Source organism: Homo sapiens, chromosome 2, assembly GCF_000001405.40.
Source record: "Homo sapiens chromosome 2, GRCh38.p14 Primary Assembly".
Taxonomy (NCBI): domain Eukaryota; kingdom Metazoa; phylum Chordata; class Mammalia; order Primates; family Hominidae; genus Homo; species Homo sapiens.
Window position 1 is genome coordinate 220849637 of NC_000002.12, and position 20502 is coordinate 220870138.

The 20502-nt window shown below is 38.0% G+C and overlaps 1 long non-coding RNA gene across 1 annotated transcript in view, besides 1 other annotated feature; it reads left to right on the top strand.

The window, feature by feature from the left end:
• LOC107985990 (uncharacterized) overlaps positions 1-20502 on the top strand; it is a 35076-nt gene that overhangs the window by 14013 nt on the left and 561 nt on the right. The window contains exons 3-4 of the long non-coding RNA XR_001739902.1: positions 6099-6237; positions 18365-18454. This is a non-coding gene — a long non-coding RNA (uncharacterized LOC107985990). The remainder of the gene's footprint in view (positions 1-6098; positions 6238-18364; positions 18455-20502) is intronic.
• Positions 5357-6556: an enhancer, noted in NCBI's record as "MED14-independent group 3 enhancer chr2:221719713-221720912 (GRCh37/hg19 assembly coordinates)". NCBI's record gives its function as "activates an origin of replication core promoter dependent on BRD2, BRD4, P300/CBP and CDK7 cofactors, and independent of MED14, by STARR-seq in HCT116 cells {active_cell/tissue: HCT116}" and the evidence as "EXISTENCE:reporter gene assay evidence [ECO:0000049][PMID:35650434]".

The following is a 20502-nucleotide window of genomic DNA, read 5'->3' on the forward strand; positions in this document are numbered from 1 at the left end:
TGAAAGGAGTCTAAAATCACTCCAGAGATGACGAGCACGTGAGGCTTTTAAGCCAGAATTAAAGAAATGTGGGGCATGGGGTGGTGTCGGCCATTTCAGACAAGAGGAATATTATTTTAATAAATGTATAATAACACAAACAATATTAACAAAAGCACAAAATTGAAGAAGTATAAAATTGGCATATGAAATGACTTAGCTGGCTAAAAGGATAGAGTAAGGATTCAGGGTGAAAATTATGTAAGAATAAGTTGTTTGGGGTTCTTTCTTTACATAACTGTTGAAGGTTTTATGTGTCTACTGATCAAACAAGTTATACAGGGGCTGTATTTAGGATTAATATGACAGTTGTGTATATGTAAGGTACATTGATAAGGAGACCTGTAGAGAGAACATTGCTGTAGTTTAAATAAGAAGTAACAGGGCAAAAGCTTGCTTGTCCCAGGCACAGCAGAGAGACAATGATACCAGGAATTTGGGGTGAGTTCCCAGAGAGGCTAAAACATTAACAGAACTGGGAAATCAGAAAAAGGGGAAGCTTTGCAATGGAAAATGAATGAGCTCAGCTCCAGATAATGCCTTAGAGATCACGATTCAGATAATCTAACTCCAACAGGAGTTAGAAATCCAATCTTGAAACCCAGGAGAGAGACCAAGATGGTAAATATAGATTCGAGAGTCATCCGCTGCCTAGATGCAATCACTGAAGCTGACAGATGAGATGAGAGTGTTAAGGGAATGATTGCAAAGGGAAAGAGGAAAGTCAAGGACAAAAGCCCTAATGTCTTTCTTTTGGGAGTGAAAATCTTGGACTTCTAAATAGTCACTGCTTCACCAAGTGCATTTCTTTTCTTCCAAAATATTGTAGGACTGTTTGCAATATTCTTAAGACAGAAGTTGCCAATATGTTACTTAGCAGTAGTTAACAAATTTCTCTAGAAAGTTGAGTTTCTAATGCACCTCAAGTGTGTTGTGTGTAACAATGGTGAGAAGAATAATGATAGTAGTTGTCCATCTGTGTGTGTTGGGGGGGCAGGAATAGCCAGATTTTCTTTATCATAAAAGAGCTAAATAGGGAAATGTATATAACTATTTCCACCATAATATTAGCGGTATTACTAAAGCTATTAATAGTTACATACTATACATGCCATTTACCCTTGCAACAATTATTTGAGGTGGGCACCGTTATCATCCACAGTTGATACACAAGGAAGTGAGTCTCAGTATAGTTCAACATCTCTCTCAGCATCACAAAACTATTAAGCAGCTGAAAAAGATGCCAGTTACTGACTCTAAAACTGAGATATTAATCACTGTATTTTTCTGCTTTGACGTTATTTCTGAATCAATGGTAAATCAGTCTGCTAACCTATGCTATTATCATTATATACTTGTCCATTTATACTTTGCTTGATTTAATTTAATTTTTGAATTTATATGCAGTAAAATGGTCTTTTTTTGGTATACAGTTCTATGATTTTTAACACAGGTATAAACTTCTGTAACATTTACCACAATCAGAATACACAACACATCCATCATCTCAAAAGCTCTCTGGTGCCATCCCTTTGCAGTTAAACCTTCCCCTTCCCATAGTCCCTGGAAACTGCTGATCTATTCTCCATCACTGTGTCTTTCTCTTTTCAAGAGTGTCTAATCTAAATGGAATCATGCCATATGTAATCTTTTGAGACAGTCTTCTTTATCTCAGTACAATGTCTTTGAGATTCATCCAAGTTTTTGCAAATATCATTATTTTTTTGAGTAGTTTTCCATTTTATTGATGTAATCCCTTCAGCTTATCCATTCACCAGTGGGTGAACATTTGTTTTTTGTTTTTTTTTTCTCCAGTTTTTAGCAATTATTAATAGAACTGCTATAAACATTCTCATCACACTTATTCTGTAAACATAAGTTTTCATTTCTCTAGGGTAAATACCCAGAAATGGAATTGAGTCATGTAGCAAATGTACTTATATCATTTTTTTGAAAAAGCCATTTGAGGTAAGAGAAACCTGTTGTAACACCTACAGGAAGCCATCTTGGCTATCTGTGAAAAAACACTTCCAAAAACATGCCGTTGGCTGGGCACAGTGGCTCACGCCTGTAATCCTAGCACTTTGGGAGGCTGAGGTGGATGGATCATGAGGTCAGGAGTTCAAGACCAGCCTGACTAATATGGTGAAACCCCGTTTCTACTAAAAATACAAAAATTAGCTGGTGTGGTGGTGCATGCCTGTAATCCCAGCTACTCAGGAGGCTGAGGCAGGAGAATCACTTGAACCTGGGAGGCGGAGGTTGCAGTGAGCTTAGATCGCGCCACTGCACTCCAGCCTGGGCGACAGAGTGAGACTCCATCTCAGAAAAAAAAAAAAAAGCTGCCAGTAAAGCAAAGAGTTGTTTACTAATGTCAGGCTAGGACACACAGAATCCAGAAAGGCATCAGCAGAATCTCCAGACTTCTGTAGAAATCATGTAGAGCCTTCTTAATAGTCTACAGGAAATCAGTTGAGGCCCCAATATACTATGGCTTGTCACGTCATGAGTTTTTACGTGGCTGAGGCCAAACTAGGATCCTTAACTCCCAAACCATGGGAAAGAACTGTTATGGAAAGGCAAATGGAACTCTTCTCCCAGGAGAAGCCACAACCATAGTGGGAGTAGGGTTAACAATTACACGTTTTGAAGACAAAGAAATATATGCCCTGTTTTAGACTTTAAGGACTTTTTAATGGTGTACATGAGTATGCTTATCAAAAATTTCTCTATTTCAATGTTCCGAAGTTATAAACATGAATTTTAAGTTTTCTGTAAATATTTAAACATGAATGATATCCTTTTGTAAATATAACATCATATAAAGAAGTTGTGAAGAGTTGGTTTTATTCTGGGCATTTTGAGGTCATCTGATGTAAAACAAATGTTTAATGCTAACCAAATAACCCACTATGTAAATAACTATACCTCAAGTTATACTAAACAACATGAGGTATAATAGCTTATGAAGTCTATGTGTTTAAGAGCAATGTTCATTTGCTATAAATAGCGTAATTATTATAACTTTTGCTTTCCCATTAGTTGAATTCCTCATGAAATGCTTTGTTTTAAGGTCTGCTGAGTTTGGCAGATAATAAAATAATAAAAATTCTAGTATTTTCCAACTGAAAAAGAGAAGCATAATGGAATTCAGTGGTCAACAAGGGCGTATTTAAAAATAGCATTGATTCCTACCTCAAATATAATGTCTGTGAGGAGGACTGCTATCCAAGGAAGTGTGAATTTAGTGGAGGAGGCAGAAGCAGAAAAGGGTAAAAATGATGAGATCACTGTGCATCTGATGTAAAGATTATTGATAGAATTACACAGAAATCATGTGTGGCTAAGAAGACCACCACGGATTTGTGGTGGTCTGAGAATCTGCTATGTATTTTTGGCATGGATCAATGTCCAACTCTGTCTGTGTAGCTAGTGAGGACGCAGAAGCCAGCTCAGCTCCAGAGTAGTGACAGATGATGTTCTACATAGATCGTTTACTTCCTTTATAACCAATAAAATATAGTTTGTTATTTTTTTAAATGAAGAAAATGATGAAAAGCACCAAGTTAGAGAAAAAAAAATACAGAAGTGATACTGGGTAAAAAATAGAGACTCCCAACATAGAGGAGAGGAAAAGGTGGTACTCACAGCACCAGATGGTACCCTGAAGATCCTGGTCCTCATCATTTCTCTGATGACAACTGTCAATCTTGATGTTTCTTAAGGGACTGGCTTTTTTTGCAGGATTGTTGATATTCATGTGCAATCTGTTGACTTAATGTTTAATGCTGTTTTATGGCAAATGGTACATGTTTTCAGTGGCTTGAGGGATCCCTCAGTGATTTCTTTTCCACTTTGTAAATCCCAGTGTCTTATTCAGGTCCCTGTGCCAGTAGTCCACCGAAGACAATGTCCTGGACACTCTCATCACCCAGGAACCATCTTCCTGGTGACCCCGTCCACAACGAACGTGGACAGAGAGGATATGGAGAGACTCCTTTATTAATCTGTAATGGAACATCAGCAGAATGAGACTAGGAGATGATAATACAGAGGAAGAAACAATTCAGGGCAGGGAAATGGAGGGGAAGCAAATTCAGAGTAAGGGCAGATGAGGCCAGGGCCGGAGATGAAGTTCGAGAGTGCTGGAGCTCTGGGTTCGTACTCCAGTGGCGCCATGCAAAAGCCAGTGGCTTCCCCAGTATTATCCCCCATGGTGGTGTTGGAAAACTTTCTTCATTTTGCATGGAGGCCAGGCTGTAATTGCGAAGTAGAGGCTGGAGTGAGTAGGGACTCAGGGAACACAGTGTGAAGACCAAAAGTCTTGGCCAACAGCAGAGACATGAAGAAGTGCTGTATACCCAAAGACAAATCTGAAGAGATCAGAGCAAAAATTAAATTTGGGATACCAGAGCAAGCACTCATTAATATATATGTTAATAGCAAGTATTAGTATCAATACTGCTGTTAGTAATTATAATAGACTGATTGACTATCTGTGACTTCTTTTCCTACCTTGCCTTAATGATAACATTCTCTTTAAGCCAGATGTTCTGGGAGTGGATGCCTGGTTTTAATTCACTAGTTAACATTTGTTAATGTCGCTGGGTCAAGATACTATACATGGGCTGGGAGAGCTAGGAGAAAGAAACTGTTGTGGAACAAATCACTTTCTACTCTCTGGAGACACTTGTGTCACAGAGCTCTAGGAGAAAGTATAGGTGCTTTTTGATTACCAAGCATTCAGACCAGGCATGCTAACTGGTTAACTATCTGTCATGTGAACCCCCCACCCCGGAATCTTCTCAAAGGTCTTATTTCTCATTGCTGGAGAGAGTTTACTCACCTTAAGAGATACACTGCTTCATTCACATTGCAAACACATGAAAACAATTGAAATGCCACATACAAATATGCGTCACCATCCATTTATCCTGCAGACACATACCATTGTGAGTAGGGTAAGTACAAGTGTACTTACAGCAAGATGTAACCTTTGTGAGTGCTGTTTCATTTGAGGTAATTATGTTGTTCATCTTTAGAATTGAGCTGAATAAGAAAAGAGAGTTTTTAATCTATTACCCCTGAATTTCTCCTGATCCCCTTTCCATGAAGAAGCTGGACTCAAACTCCAACATTTCTGGAAGTCATCATTTAATTTTTTTTAAATTATGATATACCAATCATATTAAAGAACATCCTGATAATAAATTCTCAGTATTCCTTAATTCCTGAAACACTAAGTATTCATTTTTTCATATTTCCTCATTATTATCCAAGGAAATGCATATTTTCCTAGTTACATTTCATATATTCTGCTTCTTCTCCACAGTGGATCATAATTTTTTCTTAGTTTTTCTAAGTAGCTTTCAGATTTATAATTTTAATAACTAATAATTCTTATTTTAAGGCTGACAATGTCTTCTACCTAATTTAAGACGAAGAGTCTTGTCTATTTATGTACAGTTAGAGAATAAATACAACTATAATATAGCTATGGATATTCATTGCTAAGACCATATTGAAATAATGGAGATTCTTGATTATATTACTATAACCAAGGCTAAGTCCTGAATTTGGCAGCTCAAGTACTTTAAAATGGCTTTTTTGTTGTGCTAAATATTAAATTTAGACATAACTTTCTGGTGGATAGTAATCAGGTTAGATATATCTAGGATATAAGTGACTATCCGTATTGTTAAATATAAGAAGGGAAAACATGCCTAAACATGTTTGTGGTTCACCCATCACTAATCTCCTTAACACTGAGTCCTGAGACTCCAGTGAGTGCTTTGAGGAATGTTTTGAGCATCAGTAGGCCTTTGTACTTGACTCTTCAGCTAACTCTCTGGGTCGATGACAGCTGCTCTTGCAATTAGCCCTTCCCCTGACCTCATGGTCAACCACAATAGCCTTGGAGATTTCAGGAAGGGAAACTATTGCTTTTTAGGTATCTGGACAAGACCTGCATGTGTGCAAATTAATAGGGGAACTGTTTTCTGTGCTTTATTCTCCTTCTTCTCTCTTGGTTACAAATTGTCCTCATTCATATGTGACAGGCACATCTGGTTACCTATTCTAATGGGTGCAGAAATGGATCTAACAGGAAGGGGAAGCCATATAATACTCCCCAGGAATGTTTAAAAGAGGATTCTTCAGGCTTTCATGGAAAACAGGAGTTTTAAGGGGACATCCTAGGTAAGTTATTATATAAAAAGGAGAATTTGCTTGCATGACTTGTCTCTCTTATTTCTCTCTTAGAAGGTAGAAATATGTAGAATAAGATGATACTAGGATGTGTCAAGAGTATAAAAACACAACATATGAAGCAGTTAAAATCTTTAACAAGTTACCGTGATAGGTTTATAATGAGCTAAATTCCCTTCCTTTTCCTTATCATCATTGAATCCTCCCCTTTTATGAAAGGGTTGTAGGCCTTGAATGACCACTCTCTTCAGGCCTGTGTCTGCTGAGTCCAGAAGGCAGACTGCAGCTCAGAATCTAGGTTGGAGTCATCTGGGAACGGGGTAAGTGACCCCATGTCAATAAGCCCAGCTCCCTTTCCCCTTCGTGCTTTCCTTTCATTTCAAACAGGTAGAGTTGTCTGTAATTTGTGAGAAATAGAGTTGAACTGGAGAAGATCAGTCAATGAGCATGCCCACAGAAACTTGTTACATAAGAAACCTAAGAATCAAGAGAGGAATTGGAACAATGAGAAAATAACTGCCAGGAAAGGAGGTGCTAACAGCAGAGTAGACTGAGATATGGTTCTGGGAGTAGCAGGAGAAAGTCAAAGGGGAGATTGAAAGTGGAGCTGGAGAATAAGCCAGTGGTGAGCTCTTAGTGGAAATGATGGAGGCAGTCAAAATGGTGAACACATACTAAGGCAAAATTCCATAGTAAAGCATTTTTTTCTAAGCCTTTTCAAGCGATGGTGACATGTAAAAACTTGACCAAACACATCAAGGAGAAGAGGAATGACAAAACTAACTCTAGTCCCAACTATCCTTTAGTCTCAAAGGAAGTAAAAAAAAGGAACGATTGTTTTCCAGAATGCCTATGGAAACAACATTCCAGAAATGCTGTTCACTTTCCTCTTGATCAGACTACCAGAGTCTTCCATAATTAAGAGGGTTACACAACTAACTTCCCCAATTATATTTTGTGTATTATGACAATCCTGCCTAAGTTGCTTTAGAGGAAAAAATAGAAATATAAGTTAATAAACATCAGGAAAATTGAATTGATAAAATAAGGACATTTTTACAGTACAGCCCAAATAATTCAATAATGTATTGTGATAAAAAAGATCACAGCAAAAACGTTCTTTAGAATAATAATTTTAATCTGCCCATTATAGTTGTCCCATTCTATATGAGAACGCTGAAAAATTAGAACATGTTTTTCATATTTACTCATTGAGCTGTTTTAGTTGTCAAAGCACAGAGAGAAATCTATGCCAGGAAGAATATGACTTAATTTTATTATCTTTTATTGGTGTGACAATGGGAGCTGCCACACTACATAGAAAATGTTTCATAAATGTTTGTGAAATGAACTAAGTAAAAAAATAAAAGGAGTTGCAAAAATAAAGGGAGTTGTTGTTATTTAAATATCACAAACGACTTTCAAATAAAAGAAAATTTTAAAAATAGTTCTAAGAGGGGGCAAATGTCCCCACTGTGAGGTGCTTCAGAAGGAGATAGGAGTATAGGCTAGGAACAAGTCATTAAGGACAGTAGTCATTCCAGGAATTCCTGATGAAATTAGCATTTTTAAATATTTCCAGTAGAATTAAAATTTAAATTCTCCTGTGAAACATCATTTGGCAATAGGCGGAGAGGTTCTACCCATGGAGGTCAGGGAGCATTCCCAGAAGACAGGAAGAGCAGATAACTCTTTTATCTTGAGTCTCTCACACACACTGCCAAGTTTTTGGCAGCTGCCTCTATTTAAGCTGCATCAGATCAGTGCCTGAGAGATTTTGGATTACTCTGAAGTTGCTGCTTTGACTGTATTAGTGATATTAAACCAATAAGACCATGGATTATTCAAATTGGCATCCTTGAATGATCTCAAAACCTTTTTAGCAGGGAAATTCTGAGTGCCAAGAAATTTGAGTTAATTAATGCTAACGGCATTGATCTTTAATAAAAATTTTCCTGTAACAAAAGTAATTGTTAATTTCTTTAAAATAGAGATGGAAGGTGTACACCAGTGGGACTTACTGAAAGTCAATTTTTTTCCCATGACCCCAGGGGGCATGTGCCAGTGTCTGGAGACATTTTTGGTGTTACACCTGGGCAGGAAGTGGGCTATGGGCATCTAGTAAGTAGAGGCCAGGGATGCTGTTAAACATCCTGTAATGCTTACAGCAGCCCATTATCCCACAACAACGAATGATCAGTCCAAAATGTCTATAGTGCTACTATTAAGAAACTGATATAGAAGTATAAAGATAAATTATCATGTTATTTGAGGGAGCACCAGATTAAAGATACTTGGAGATTTTGATGTATAGTCATGAAAACTTCTTACATAGTACATTTCCCCTGTGTCTGAACTACTCCCTAATAATAAATTAGGCCTCTTATGATGCTGCATTAACTGTTTAAAACCACTAGGGAGCTATCAGCATGTTACTACTGTGGTGTATTAAATACAGCCTTAGGGTATTTAGAAAGTTATTGGGATTTTCAAAGGTACGTAATTTACAAGTGAGCATTAAGAAAACCAACACTTGTGAAAGGGACATAAATGCACTTAAAAAGGAAGACATAAACAAGCCCAAATGTTCAGAGGACACAATCTTAGTTACGTGTGTGTTTGTGTGTTAAAGGGAAGGGAGTCATTAGTTAGGAATGGCTGGAGGTGAGTTTTGATCTGGGTTTTCAAGAAAAAGAAAATTATAGATTAGTTAGGAGTACATTCTAGCAATTCAGTAGCCTTTGTTAATGTAAAACAGAAAGTGGTTAAATGCTAATTCAATTTCCTAAAGGCTTTCAACAAATAGGAGTTGAAGAGAGATTAGTATCTACTGAGCAAAAACTATTTAAAATTAACACATCTTTTGATAAATTTTACATAGATTTTTATGATAACATTAATAAAATGTTCTGCATACCTAGAGTATGATTGATGACTTTGAGCTATATGTGTATATATATATATACACACATATATATATACACATATATATATACACACATATATATACATATATATATACACACACACATATATATATAAAATAACATTTTACAACATCACAAATTTAGCTCACTAATTGCGTGGCGGGAGAAGTTGACTTAAATCTGTGTTGGTATTCTTTATTAAAAAGAATTGACAAGTTTAAAAGGGGGGTCTTTAACCATGGGTTTAAAATACAGTGGGAATAATTTTTATTTTTACTTTTGAGAGATACTTCTGGAGAAAAGAAGAGATTATAGCTCTCCTTGTTAGACCTGTTTGTTCCCTGACCCTCTAGCAGGGTACTTTCTGCACATGCAAACAGAGATGGGAGGAAGACTTAGTCAAGTTTGAAATAGCCCAGGAGAAATAATAAAATAATATGGTTAAGAGCAGATATTTTATTTTCTAAATATGCTTTATACATTAACTTTGGTAGCTATAATATTTCATTGTCAATCTAAATAACAAAGAGAGGCTCTCTAAAAGAAAATGATGTTTACTGGGGAATAGTGCATTGAAGTGAATACGCATGCCATAGTAAACTATGTGTGTATTCAGGTTGGTGAAGAAAGACAAAGGTGCTGGGCGCGGTGGCTCACACCTGTAATCTCAGCACTTTGGGAAGCCAAGCGGGTGGATCACCTGAGGTCAGGAGTTTGAGACCAGCCTGACCAATATGGTGAAACTCCATCTCTACTAACAATACAGAAAATAGTAAGGCATGGTGACGTGCACCTGTGTAGTCCCAGCTACTTGGGAGGCTGAGACAGGAGAATTGCTTGAACCCAGGAGGCAGAGGTTGCAGTGAGCCGAGATTGCACCATTGCACTCCAGCCTGGGCAACAGAGCAAGACTCTGCCTCAAAAAAAAAAAAAAAAAAAAAGAAAGAAAGAAAGAAAGAAAGACAAAGGGTTTTTAAAGCAAATAAGGAGGATTGCATACTTGTTTTGAAATAATTATCCTTGACTACAAAGATCTACAGCAAGGGTGATGCCAGTCTGAGGTTGGACAGGCAGCTGTTAGGCAGATGTCTTGCAGAAGTCTTTTCTGTGTAAGGTTGTGATGGCCTTTGCACAAGGTTGTGTTGTTTGCAGTCTTTTGTGATAGTTTTTGTTGTCAGGTATACATGCGTGAGAACTCTCCATAGCCTTCCTCAGCTCTAGCTGTCAGGATTTTTCTAACATTAGTGACTTCATTTTGATTCTGACAACTTTCACATTATCTTTTGGGAGGTCTTGAGGGGTGAAAACAATTTTGTAACAGAGTGGTTTTTAGAGAAACTTAAGAATTTTGGAATATTATGTCCTCTGCCCAAATCCGGCTAACCTTTGGCCTCCATGGTGGCTGGAACTCCAAAGACAATGTGATGGTTAATAGAGTGTCAACTTGATTGGATTGAATCATGTGCAGTATTGTTCCTGGGTGTGTCTATGAAGGTATTGCCAAAGGAGATTAATATTTGAGTCAGTGGACTGGGAGAGACCCACCCTCAATCAGAGTGGGCACCATCTAATCGGCTGCCATAATGGCTAGAATAAAGTGGCAAAAGAAGGTGGAAGGAGCAGACTTGCTGAGTCTTCTGGCCTTCATCTTTCTCCCATGCTGGATGCTTCCTGCTCTCGGACTCCAAGTTCTTCAGATTTTGGACTCTTGAACTTATGTCAGTGGTTTACCAGGGGCTGTCAGTCCTTTGGTCACACACTAAAGGCTGCACTTTCAGATTCTCTACTTTTGAGGTTCTGGGACTCAGGACTGGCTTCCTTGCCCCTCAGCTTGCAGATGGCCTGTTGTAGGACTTCACTTTGTAATCATGTGCATCAATTCTCCTTAGTAAACTCCCTTTCATATATACATCTATTCTATTAGTTTCGTCCCTTTAGAGAGCCCTGACTAATACAGACAATATCATTACCAAAACAAGATTTCAACAGACCTTTGATGGTTAATTTTACATGTCAACTTGACTAGGCTGGGGTACCCAAATATTTGGCCAAGCATTATTTTAGATGTTTCTGTGAAAGTATTTTTTAGATGAGAATAACAGTTAAATGAGTAGACATTGAGCAAAGCAGATTACCCTCCATAATATGGGTTGATCTTATCTAATTGAGTTGAGGTCCTTAATAAAGCAAGGACTGATGTTCCTGGAGGAAAAGAGACTTTTGCACCAGACTGCCTCTGTACTCAAGGTGCAACTCTTCCTGGGCCTCCAGCCTTCCAGCCTACCTTACAGATTTTGGACATGTTTGCCTCCATGATCCTGTGAGACAACTCTTTAAAATATCTTTCTTTCTCTCTTTCTCTCTCTTTCACTGGTGCCCTTCTCACAATGGTTCAACTTAACAATTTGTTTGGCTTTATGGTGGTACCCATACAACCATTCTGGCTTTTGCTTTTAAAATAATATTCAATAAATTACAGAAGATATTCAACACTTTATTATAAAGTAGGCTTAGTGTTGGATAATTTTGCCCAACTGTAGGGTAATGTAAGTGTTCTGAGCACATTTAATATAAGTTAGGCTAAGCTAGGATGTTTGGTAGGTTAGGTGTGTTAAATGCATTTTTGACTCACAATACATTCAACTTACAGTGGATTTATTGGGGTGTAATTCTATAAGTCAAGGAACATCTGTATACACACACATGCACACACACACACACACACACACACACACACACACACACACACCCTATTGCTTCTGTTTCTATGAATAACCCTAATATCGAACCAAAGACCACAGATCCAGACTACAGGGAATCTATATACTACTTTTCTTCACACTCTCTTTCCTTCCACAAATATTTGGTAGATGTTATTATGTAGAAGTTACTGCAATAATGTCTGACTTATGATGCTGAGCAAGATCAGACATTATAAATGCTGATACAGAGCTACAGAATCTACACTAACCTAGCTAAAAATAGACTGTAAGGCAAGGAGAAATACAAGAGGTAAGGGGGGATATTTCATAATGACTAGAGTTAAAAACAGACATTTGGAATATATCATAAATGTAATTTGCATAATCCTGATACCAAAGCTTCAAAATATGTAAGTGAAACTGATAGAATAACAAAAGATTGGTAGATAAACCTACAAACACAGCGAAAGACTTTAACACACCTTTCACACCAGTTGACAGGGCAGGCAGACATGAAATGAGCCACGATTTGGAAGATCTAAATAATTTACAAAGATCTGAAAATTAATAAAATTGGCCTCATTCTTGTAAATATGATTGTGCTCATATTCCTTTCATGAGCACATAGAACTACAAAAATCAATCATATAGTTAGTCATAAATTAAGCCTCAATTATTTTTCAAAATTCGGGATAATTTAGGGTATATTCTCTGATTATATTGGCAGTAAGCTGGAACTAAACAACTAGAAATCCCAAATCACCTAAACAGTAAATAAAACATTAAACATTACAATTCAAACATGAGTGAAAGAAGAAAACAAAATAAAAATAGGGATAATTTTAAAGGGAGTGGTACATCATTTCAAAAATGCAGCCAAAGGGCCAGGTGTGGTGGCTCACGCCTGTAATCCCAGTAGTTTGGGAGGCCAAGGCGGGTGGATCATGAGGTCAAGAGATAGAGACCATCCTGGCCAACATGGTGAAACCCCGTCTCTACTAAAAATACAAAAATTAGCTGGGCGTGGTCATTGCGCCTGTGTCCCAGCTACTTGGGAGGCTGAGGCAGGAGAATCTCTTGAACCAGGGAAGCGGAGGTTGCTGTGAGCCAAGATCATGCCGCTGCACTTCAGCCTGGAGACAGAGCACAACTCTGTCTAAAAAAAAAAAAAAAATGCAGCCAAAGGAGTACTTAGAAAAAAGTACACTTGAAATGTACATATTACATAAAACGACTAAAATACTTAAGCCTCCATTTCAAGCCATGACAACAAAAATAGCAAATTAAGGGAAGAAAGTAAATTACAAAGATTAAAAAGAGAAATGAATTTAAAAATATAGAAAAAAATATACCGTTGAAGATTCAACAAAGCAAAAGTCTGTTTAAAAGATAACAAAACGGTAGCTCTTGAGGAAGATAGATTAAAATATAGAGAGATTTTCAATATCAGGAATAAAAGAGACTCTCATTACAGACACTGCAGACATCAAAATGTTATTAAGAATAAGAGTAGCAGTAATATGACAATTTGGATTAAGTTTTTAAAATTCTTTTAAAAAAAGACTTACCAAAACTCACAAAAAAGTTCTTGTAAGAAATTGAAACTTATTAAAAACGTCCTCACATAAATAATTCTGGGGTTATTTAGCTTCACTGATTCTTCCAAACGCGGTGGTAGAAATAACACTGATCTTGTGCACATTCATCCAAGAAATGAACAAGTGTTTAAGACATTCACACTGAAAACTCAAAACATTATTGGGAGAAATTTTTAAAGACATAAATAAATAGAGACTATAATATGTTCATGGATTAGAAAACTCATCATTGTAAATATTTTTATTCTCCACAAATTTAACCTATGGATTTCATATCATACTAATAGAAAATGGAAAAGTCTTCCTAAAATGCATATGGTGATGAAAAGTGCTGAAAATAACCAAGACTATTTTAAATGTCAAAGTTGGGAGACTAACAGTAAGAGATAGTAAGACTGAATCAGGCTGTAATTATAGCAGTTTTATACTGGTACAAGGAAAGACAAACTAATAGTACTGAATAGAGTCCACAAATCAATACACATGTGCAAACACATGATTTACACCAAAACAACACTAGAGTGGAATAGAAAAGATGGCCTTTTCAATGAGCAATGCTGGGTCAACTTGTTATCCACATGGATTAGTAACGTGTGTCTTGGCTTCTATTTTGTATCATATACAAAATGCAACTCCAGATGGATTGCAGATCTAAATGTGGAAGGAGAAACAATAAAGCTTTTAGAGGAAAATACAGGAGGACATTCTTGTGACCTTGGTGTTGGCAATGATTTCATAAACAGGACACAAAAGGACCTAACTATAAACAAACAAAAAAGACAGATCAAAGACAAATTTATTTTAACATCAAGAACTTGCGTTCATCAAAAGACATCACTGAGTAAAAATACAGCCCCAAAAGTAGTTGAAGTTATTCTCAATATGTGTATCTGGCAATAAGTCACATCCAGAATACATAAACAATCCCAACAAATTAATAATAATAAAAAAGACAGACCATAGAATAAAAAAAGTCAAAAGACACTTGAATAGACCCTTAAAAACAGAAGATATTAAATGACAAGTATATGATAAGGTGCTCATATTTATTAGTCATTAGGGAAATACCTATGAAAACCGTAATGTGATAAAACTGAATATCCATCATAATAACCAAAATGTAAAAGACATTTAATGCCAAGTGTTGACAAGGATGTGGAACAACTGGAACCCTATATACTATTCATGGGGGTGTAAGTGGTTTATCCTCTTTGTATCTTCTATAGATAAACACACATAGATCCTATTAAGATCCTATTATGTATGCAGCAGCTCCACTCCTAAGTGCATATGCAGAAGCAAGGAGTCCAGTCCCAAACTAGAAACAGCTCAAATGCCCATCAATTTTAATATGGATGAGGAAATTGCCATATATTCATACAGTGGAATTATACAATAAGAATAAATAGGCCAAGTGTGGCGGTGGAAGCCTGTAATCTAGCACTTTAGGAAGCCAAGGCTGGAGGATTGCTTGAGCCCAGGAGTTTAAGACCAGCCTTGGGCAACACGCAAAACTCTGTCTCTACAAAACAAAAAAAATTAGCTGGGCCTGGTGGCACGTTCCTGTAGTCCCAGCTACTTGGGAGGCTGAGGTAGGAGGATTACTTGAGCCCAGGAGGTTGAGGCTGCAGTGAGCCATGATCATGCCACTGCGCTCCAGCCTGGACAACAGGATGAGACCCTATCTCAAAAAAAAAAAAAAAAAAAAAAAGAACAATACGCACCCACATAAAAAATATCAATGAATCTCACCAATAAAATACTGAATTTGAAAAAGTCAAATACAAAAGAGCACATGCTATAATGCTTCCAATTATTTACAAAGTGCAAAACAGGCAAAGATAATCTATGCTGGTAGAAGCCATGATAGTGGTTTAGCTGGTTTAGGATCGTGTTTCAGGAGGGAAGGGGAGGCACTAAAAGGAAAGCAGCAGGAATGCTTCTGGGGTGTTGATAATGTTATGTTTCTTGAACTGAGTGCTGGCTACTAATATGGGTTCCGTGTGTAAAAATTTACCAAGCCGTACATTTGTAATGTATTCATTTTTGTGTATGTATATTATACTTTTTAAGCATTAGGACAAATACCTAAGGCATGCAGGGCTTAAAGCCTAGATGATGGGTTGATAGGTGCAGCAAACCACCATGGCACATGTATACCTATTTAACAAACCTTCACATTCTGCACATGTATCTCAGAACTTAAGGTAAAATAATAATAATAAAAAAGCAGTAAGCTTAAAAATCAGAAAAAAACACAAAAACAAAAACAAAACCAATAAACCTTGGCTCTGGAGGTCAGAGTACTTGGGTCTATGTCCCACACTTACTAATTAAGTAATCTTGGGCAGGTTATTTACCTGTACTGTGCCTCACTCTTTATATGGAAGATGGCCATAGAAGAGTACTTAGTTCCCAAGCTGTGAGGATCACCTAACGATGCATTTAAAACACGCAAAACACTTCTCAAAAAAAAGTGACCACTCAAATACTGGTTGTCAAAGAATGGCTCATAGGCAATTTAGCTAGAACTCAGCTGAAGTTTACTCACCTAAGAGGGAGTTCAATCATATGTAGACTGTCTCTCCGAAAGGTAGAATTTTAAAAGGCAAAATCTGCAGATGGACTATGAAATAGAAAATCTTATTTTATTTTCTCCTAGGGTAAATTGATTGACTAAAGTTACCAAGGAGGGCAATTTTCCCTTGAGCAGACTGGAAGAGTTATTGAGGAGAGAAGAGGAGGTCTTTGAAGGTTTTCCAGAACCTTCTGCTCTCTAGGTAGAAGAGTGATTGGTCCTTAAATGAGTGCCTCCTCCTTAAGCTAAGGCTACAGCTTCTCCGTCATTGTGATTCTCATTTTCCTCTTCTGGTCAACCTCAGCTTCCAAAGGAACTAAGGTGACCATGAGGACTTCTGTCTTAGAAATGGTGTAATCAGCTGCATGTCAGCTCAGGATAATGGCTGCGTAGCATCTTAAAGTAATTGCAAATCAAATAGTGGAGAAAGGCAAGAAATATGAATGACATTATAAGAAACATTTAGGACTTACTTGGTTTCAGTTTTTTGATTCACCTAGGCATAACCAAAAAAACAGTTCTGGCCAGGCATGGTGGCTCCCAGTGCTTTAGGAGGCCAAGGCAGGAGTATTGCTTGAGCCTAGGAGTTTGAAGTTACAGTGAGCTGTGATCACACCACTGCACTTTGGCCTGGGAGGCAGAGCAAAACTCTGTCTCTAAGACTCATTTTGGCTGACTTTAGATAACCAGATGACTGTTCATCTTAATTAATTGTTTTACTTCCTAAATTGCTTTCCCAGATGAAACAAGATATTTTAGTAATTACATAGGCTCCACATTTGATGGCCAGTCTCTATGGTTGTGGGCAACTTTTATTGCCTCGAACTACTTTAATTGGTTAATACATACTGCTGTATCAGGCCTCTAAAAGTTATCCTGTTTAATTTCTATCTGGACCAGAGTCAGGGATAAATTACAGAACACATTGTTTACTTGGGGAGATGCTAGACAACGTAGAATTTCTTACAAGCCAGTGAATTCCAGTATCTTAGACTTCTAAGAAATGAACGTAGGCCAGGCACGGTGGCTCATGCCTCTAATCCCAGCACTTTGGGAGGCCGAGGTGTGTGGATCACTTGAGGTCAGGAGTTCGAGACCAGCCTGGCCAACAAGGTGAAATCCTGTCTCTACTACAAATACAAAAATTAGCTGGGCATGGTGGTGGGTGCCTGTAATCCCAGCTACTCAGGAGGCTGAGGCAGAAAAATCACTTGAACCCAAGAGACGGAGGTTGTAGTGAGCCAAGATGGAACCACTCCTCTCCAGCCTAGGTGACAGAGCAAGACTCCATCTCAAAAAAAAAAAAAAAAAGAAAGAAAAGGAGAAAAGAAAAGAAGAAGAAGAAGAAGAAGAAGAAGAAGAAGAAGAAGAAGAAGAAGAAGAGAAAGAAAGAAAAAAATAGAGAAATGAATGTAGCTTTATCTGAATGAAATTCAAGCAACCCTTTCTGGGCTGATGAACACATCCCTGTGCTGGGAAGATGGCAGGCTCCAACTCCACAGGGACAGAAGCTCCTGTGCTTGGGATCCTTCCTGACTTCATTCTGTATGTACTTCTTCATCTGGCCATTCATCCGTATTCTTCATAATAAATTGGAAAAATGTTTCCCTGAATTCTGTGAGCTGTCCTAGCAAGTTATCAAACCCAAGGAGGGACAGCCATGGGAGCCATTTATAGCCAGTCAGAAGAACAGGTCACAATTGCCACTTGTGTCATCTGAAGTGGTGGGCAGTCTTGAAGGGTGGAGCCTTTAACCTGTAGGACCCAATGCTATCTTCAGATAGTGACTGTCAGAATTTTAATTGAATTATAGGACATCTAGTTGGTGTCCACTGCAGAACTGCTGCTTAGTAGGAAGAAACCCCAAACACCTGGTCACAGAAGTGTCCTGTGCTCTGTTAAGTGTGAGAGAAGGAAAAATTGTTTTTTTCTATCTCATACACAGCCAGAGGGAAAAAATAATAAAACGTAAGAAAGAAAAGAAGAAAACATAAGACATTATTATTCTGATCATAGATTTTGATTCAATGGTCTTAGAAAGATGTCTACAACTGATATAGTCTTGACCCTCAGATACTTGATATAACTGTCTACTACTGGGCCAAAACTCTTCTGAGGCATTTTAGTGAGCCTCAGAGCTAGATCTCCAGGTGAACTGAGTGTCCAGATTGTAAGATCTGCAGCATATTTATATTGGGAATGCTGGATCCATGGGAGATATGTTGTAGAGTTGAAGAATTGGTTAATGTAATTGAAATGTTTCTTTCTAATGTGATGCCAAGGCTGACTTCAACTTGTGTCTTTTCAATATAGCCAATCTCTCCAGGCTGTGTGTCAGATGGGGATGTGTCTGGTTGTATCACTTTTGGAAGGGCAGCTTATCCCTCTTGGGCATGAAGCAATGTACGTAACATTCATTTTTAATAATACCTAACAAAATCAGAATAAAACATGGTAGACTCTGACAAGTTCTTAAGTTGCCACTGCTGATAGAAAAAGCCAGTTTACTAAACATAGTCCTTAATGCCTTGAGAATACTTGCCAGTGGTGCTTACGGCTGCAGCATTTACTCTGAGATAACTTTGCTATGATGGATCTCATTTTTATTATTATTTTTGCATTGCTCTAATATATCGACTTTGGAAACAATAGACATCATTCTATTTATTCTGTGCTTAGTGGTGGTATTTCTATTTACAAAACATAGTAAATCTCAATCACTGAAAATGTCAAATCCTAGAAAATGTAGCATTCCTTTGGGGCATGGTGGCTCATGCCTGTAGTCCCAGCATTTTGGGAGGCTGAGGTGAGTGGATTGCTTGAGCCCAGGAGTTTGAGACCAGCCTGGACAACATAACAAGACCCCATCTCCTAAAGTAAATTAGTTAAATTTGCAAAAAGAAAAATGTAGCATTTCTATATTATTACCTGATGTTAGCATCATTCTCAAAAAGTTGTTGGTCAAAGATTCATTTGATAAGTTCGAGTTTTCTGAAACAGATGATTCTGATGCTTCAGACAATTCTGATGTCAGTTCTGTTTAGAAATAACTCCAAGAACAGATTTATATTTTATTTTCACATTAAAAATCAGTCAGATTTGCTTCAGCCTTGTATTTTTCCATTCTCACGCTGCTATGAAGAAGTACCCAACACTGGGTAATTTATAAAGAAAACAGGTTTAATTGACACACAGTTCAGCATGGCTGGGGAGATCTCGGGAAACTTACAATCATGGCAGAAGGGGAAGAAAACATGTCCTTCTTCAAAAGGCAGCAGGAGAGAGAAGGGCTGAGCAAAGGGGGGGAAAAGCCACTTATAAAACCATCAAATCTCATGAGGACTCGCTATCATGAGAACAGCATGGAGGTAACTGCCCCCATGATTAAATTACCGTCTACCAGGTCCCTCCCACAACACATGGGGACTATGGGAACTACAATTCAAGATGAGATTTAGGTGAGGAAACAGCCAAACCATATCAAGACTCAAAGAGCATGTTTATGTAAAATTAAATGAGTCCTGGCAGCGAGATGCACTTTTTTTTTTTAATTGAGACAGAGTCTTGCTCTGTTGCCCAGGCTGGAGTGCAGTGGCATGATCTCGGCTCACTGCAACCTCCACCTCCGGGATTCAAGCAATTCTCCTGCCTCAGCCTCCCAAGTAGCTGGGACTACAGGCACACACTGCCATGCCTGGCTAATTTTTTTGTATTTAGTAGAGATGGGGTTTCATCGTGTTGCCCAGACTGGTCTCGAACTCCTGAGCACCTTTTTTTTTCTAAACAGGAAAAAGGTTAAATTCCCTTTTCTCATTTTCATATGGGAGCCAAAAGTCATTTTTCCAAAGATTGCCTTCAGTATGAACTTCTTTTCACAACCAAGGCAATAATTTAAATAGCTGTTTCACCACCACATGTCATGTGTATCCCAATCCTTGAATAGATGGATTTTTAGTGCCTTCAGTTTTCTAGACCAGAGAACTCATTCCAGACTTCTTCCATTTCCTCCATGTCTTGCTTTGGTGCCTGCTGTCCACTGCCAGTCCCAACCTCTCCACCAATAAGAAGGGCTATGATTGCAAACAACTAACTCTGATTAATTTAATCAGAAAAGGACTATATAGGAAAATATTGGGTAGTTCAGAGAATCAACAGGAAACCAGGAGAACACGATTTTAAAAATTAGCAGAAAGCAAGGGCAGCCAGGAAGACTGACAAGATCCCACAACAAAAGTAACCTGATTAAAAATGCCCTGGCCATGGTCCCATGATGGCAACCACACTGCAACTAATACTATCACTACTGCTGCTGCCACCATTGCTGGATAATGTCCACCAATGCCAGCACCGCTGCCACAGAACCACTGGGTGAATATGAGTGGTCTTCTGTCCCTGCGTCTGTGCATCACTCCATTTAAACTCAAAGTTCAAGGTGAGAACATTGGAGTGTC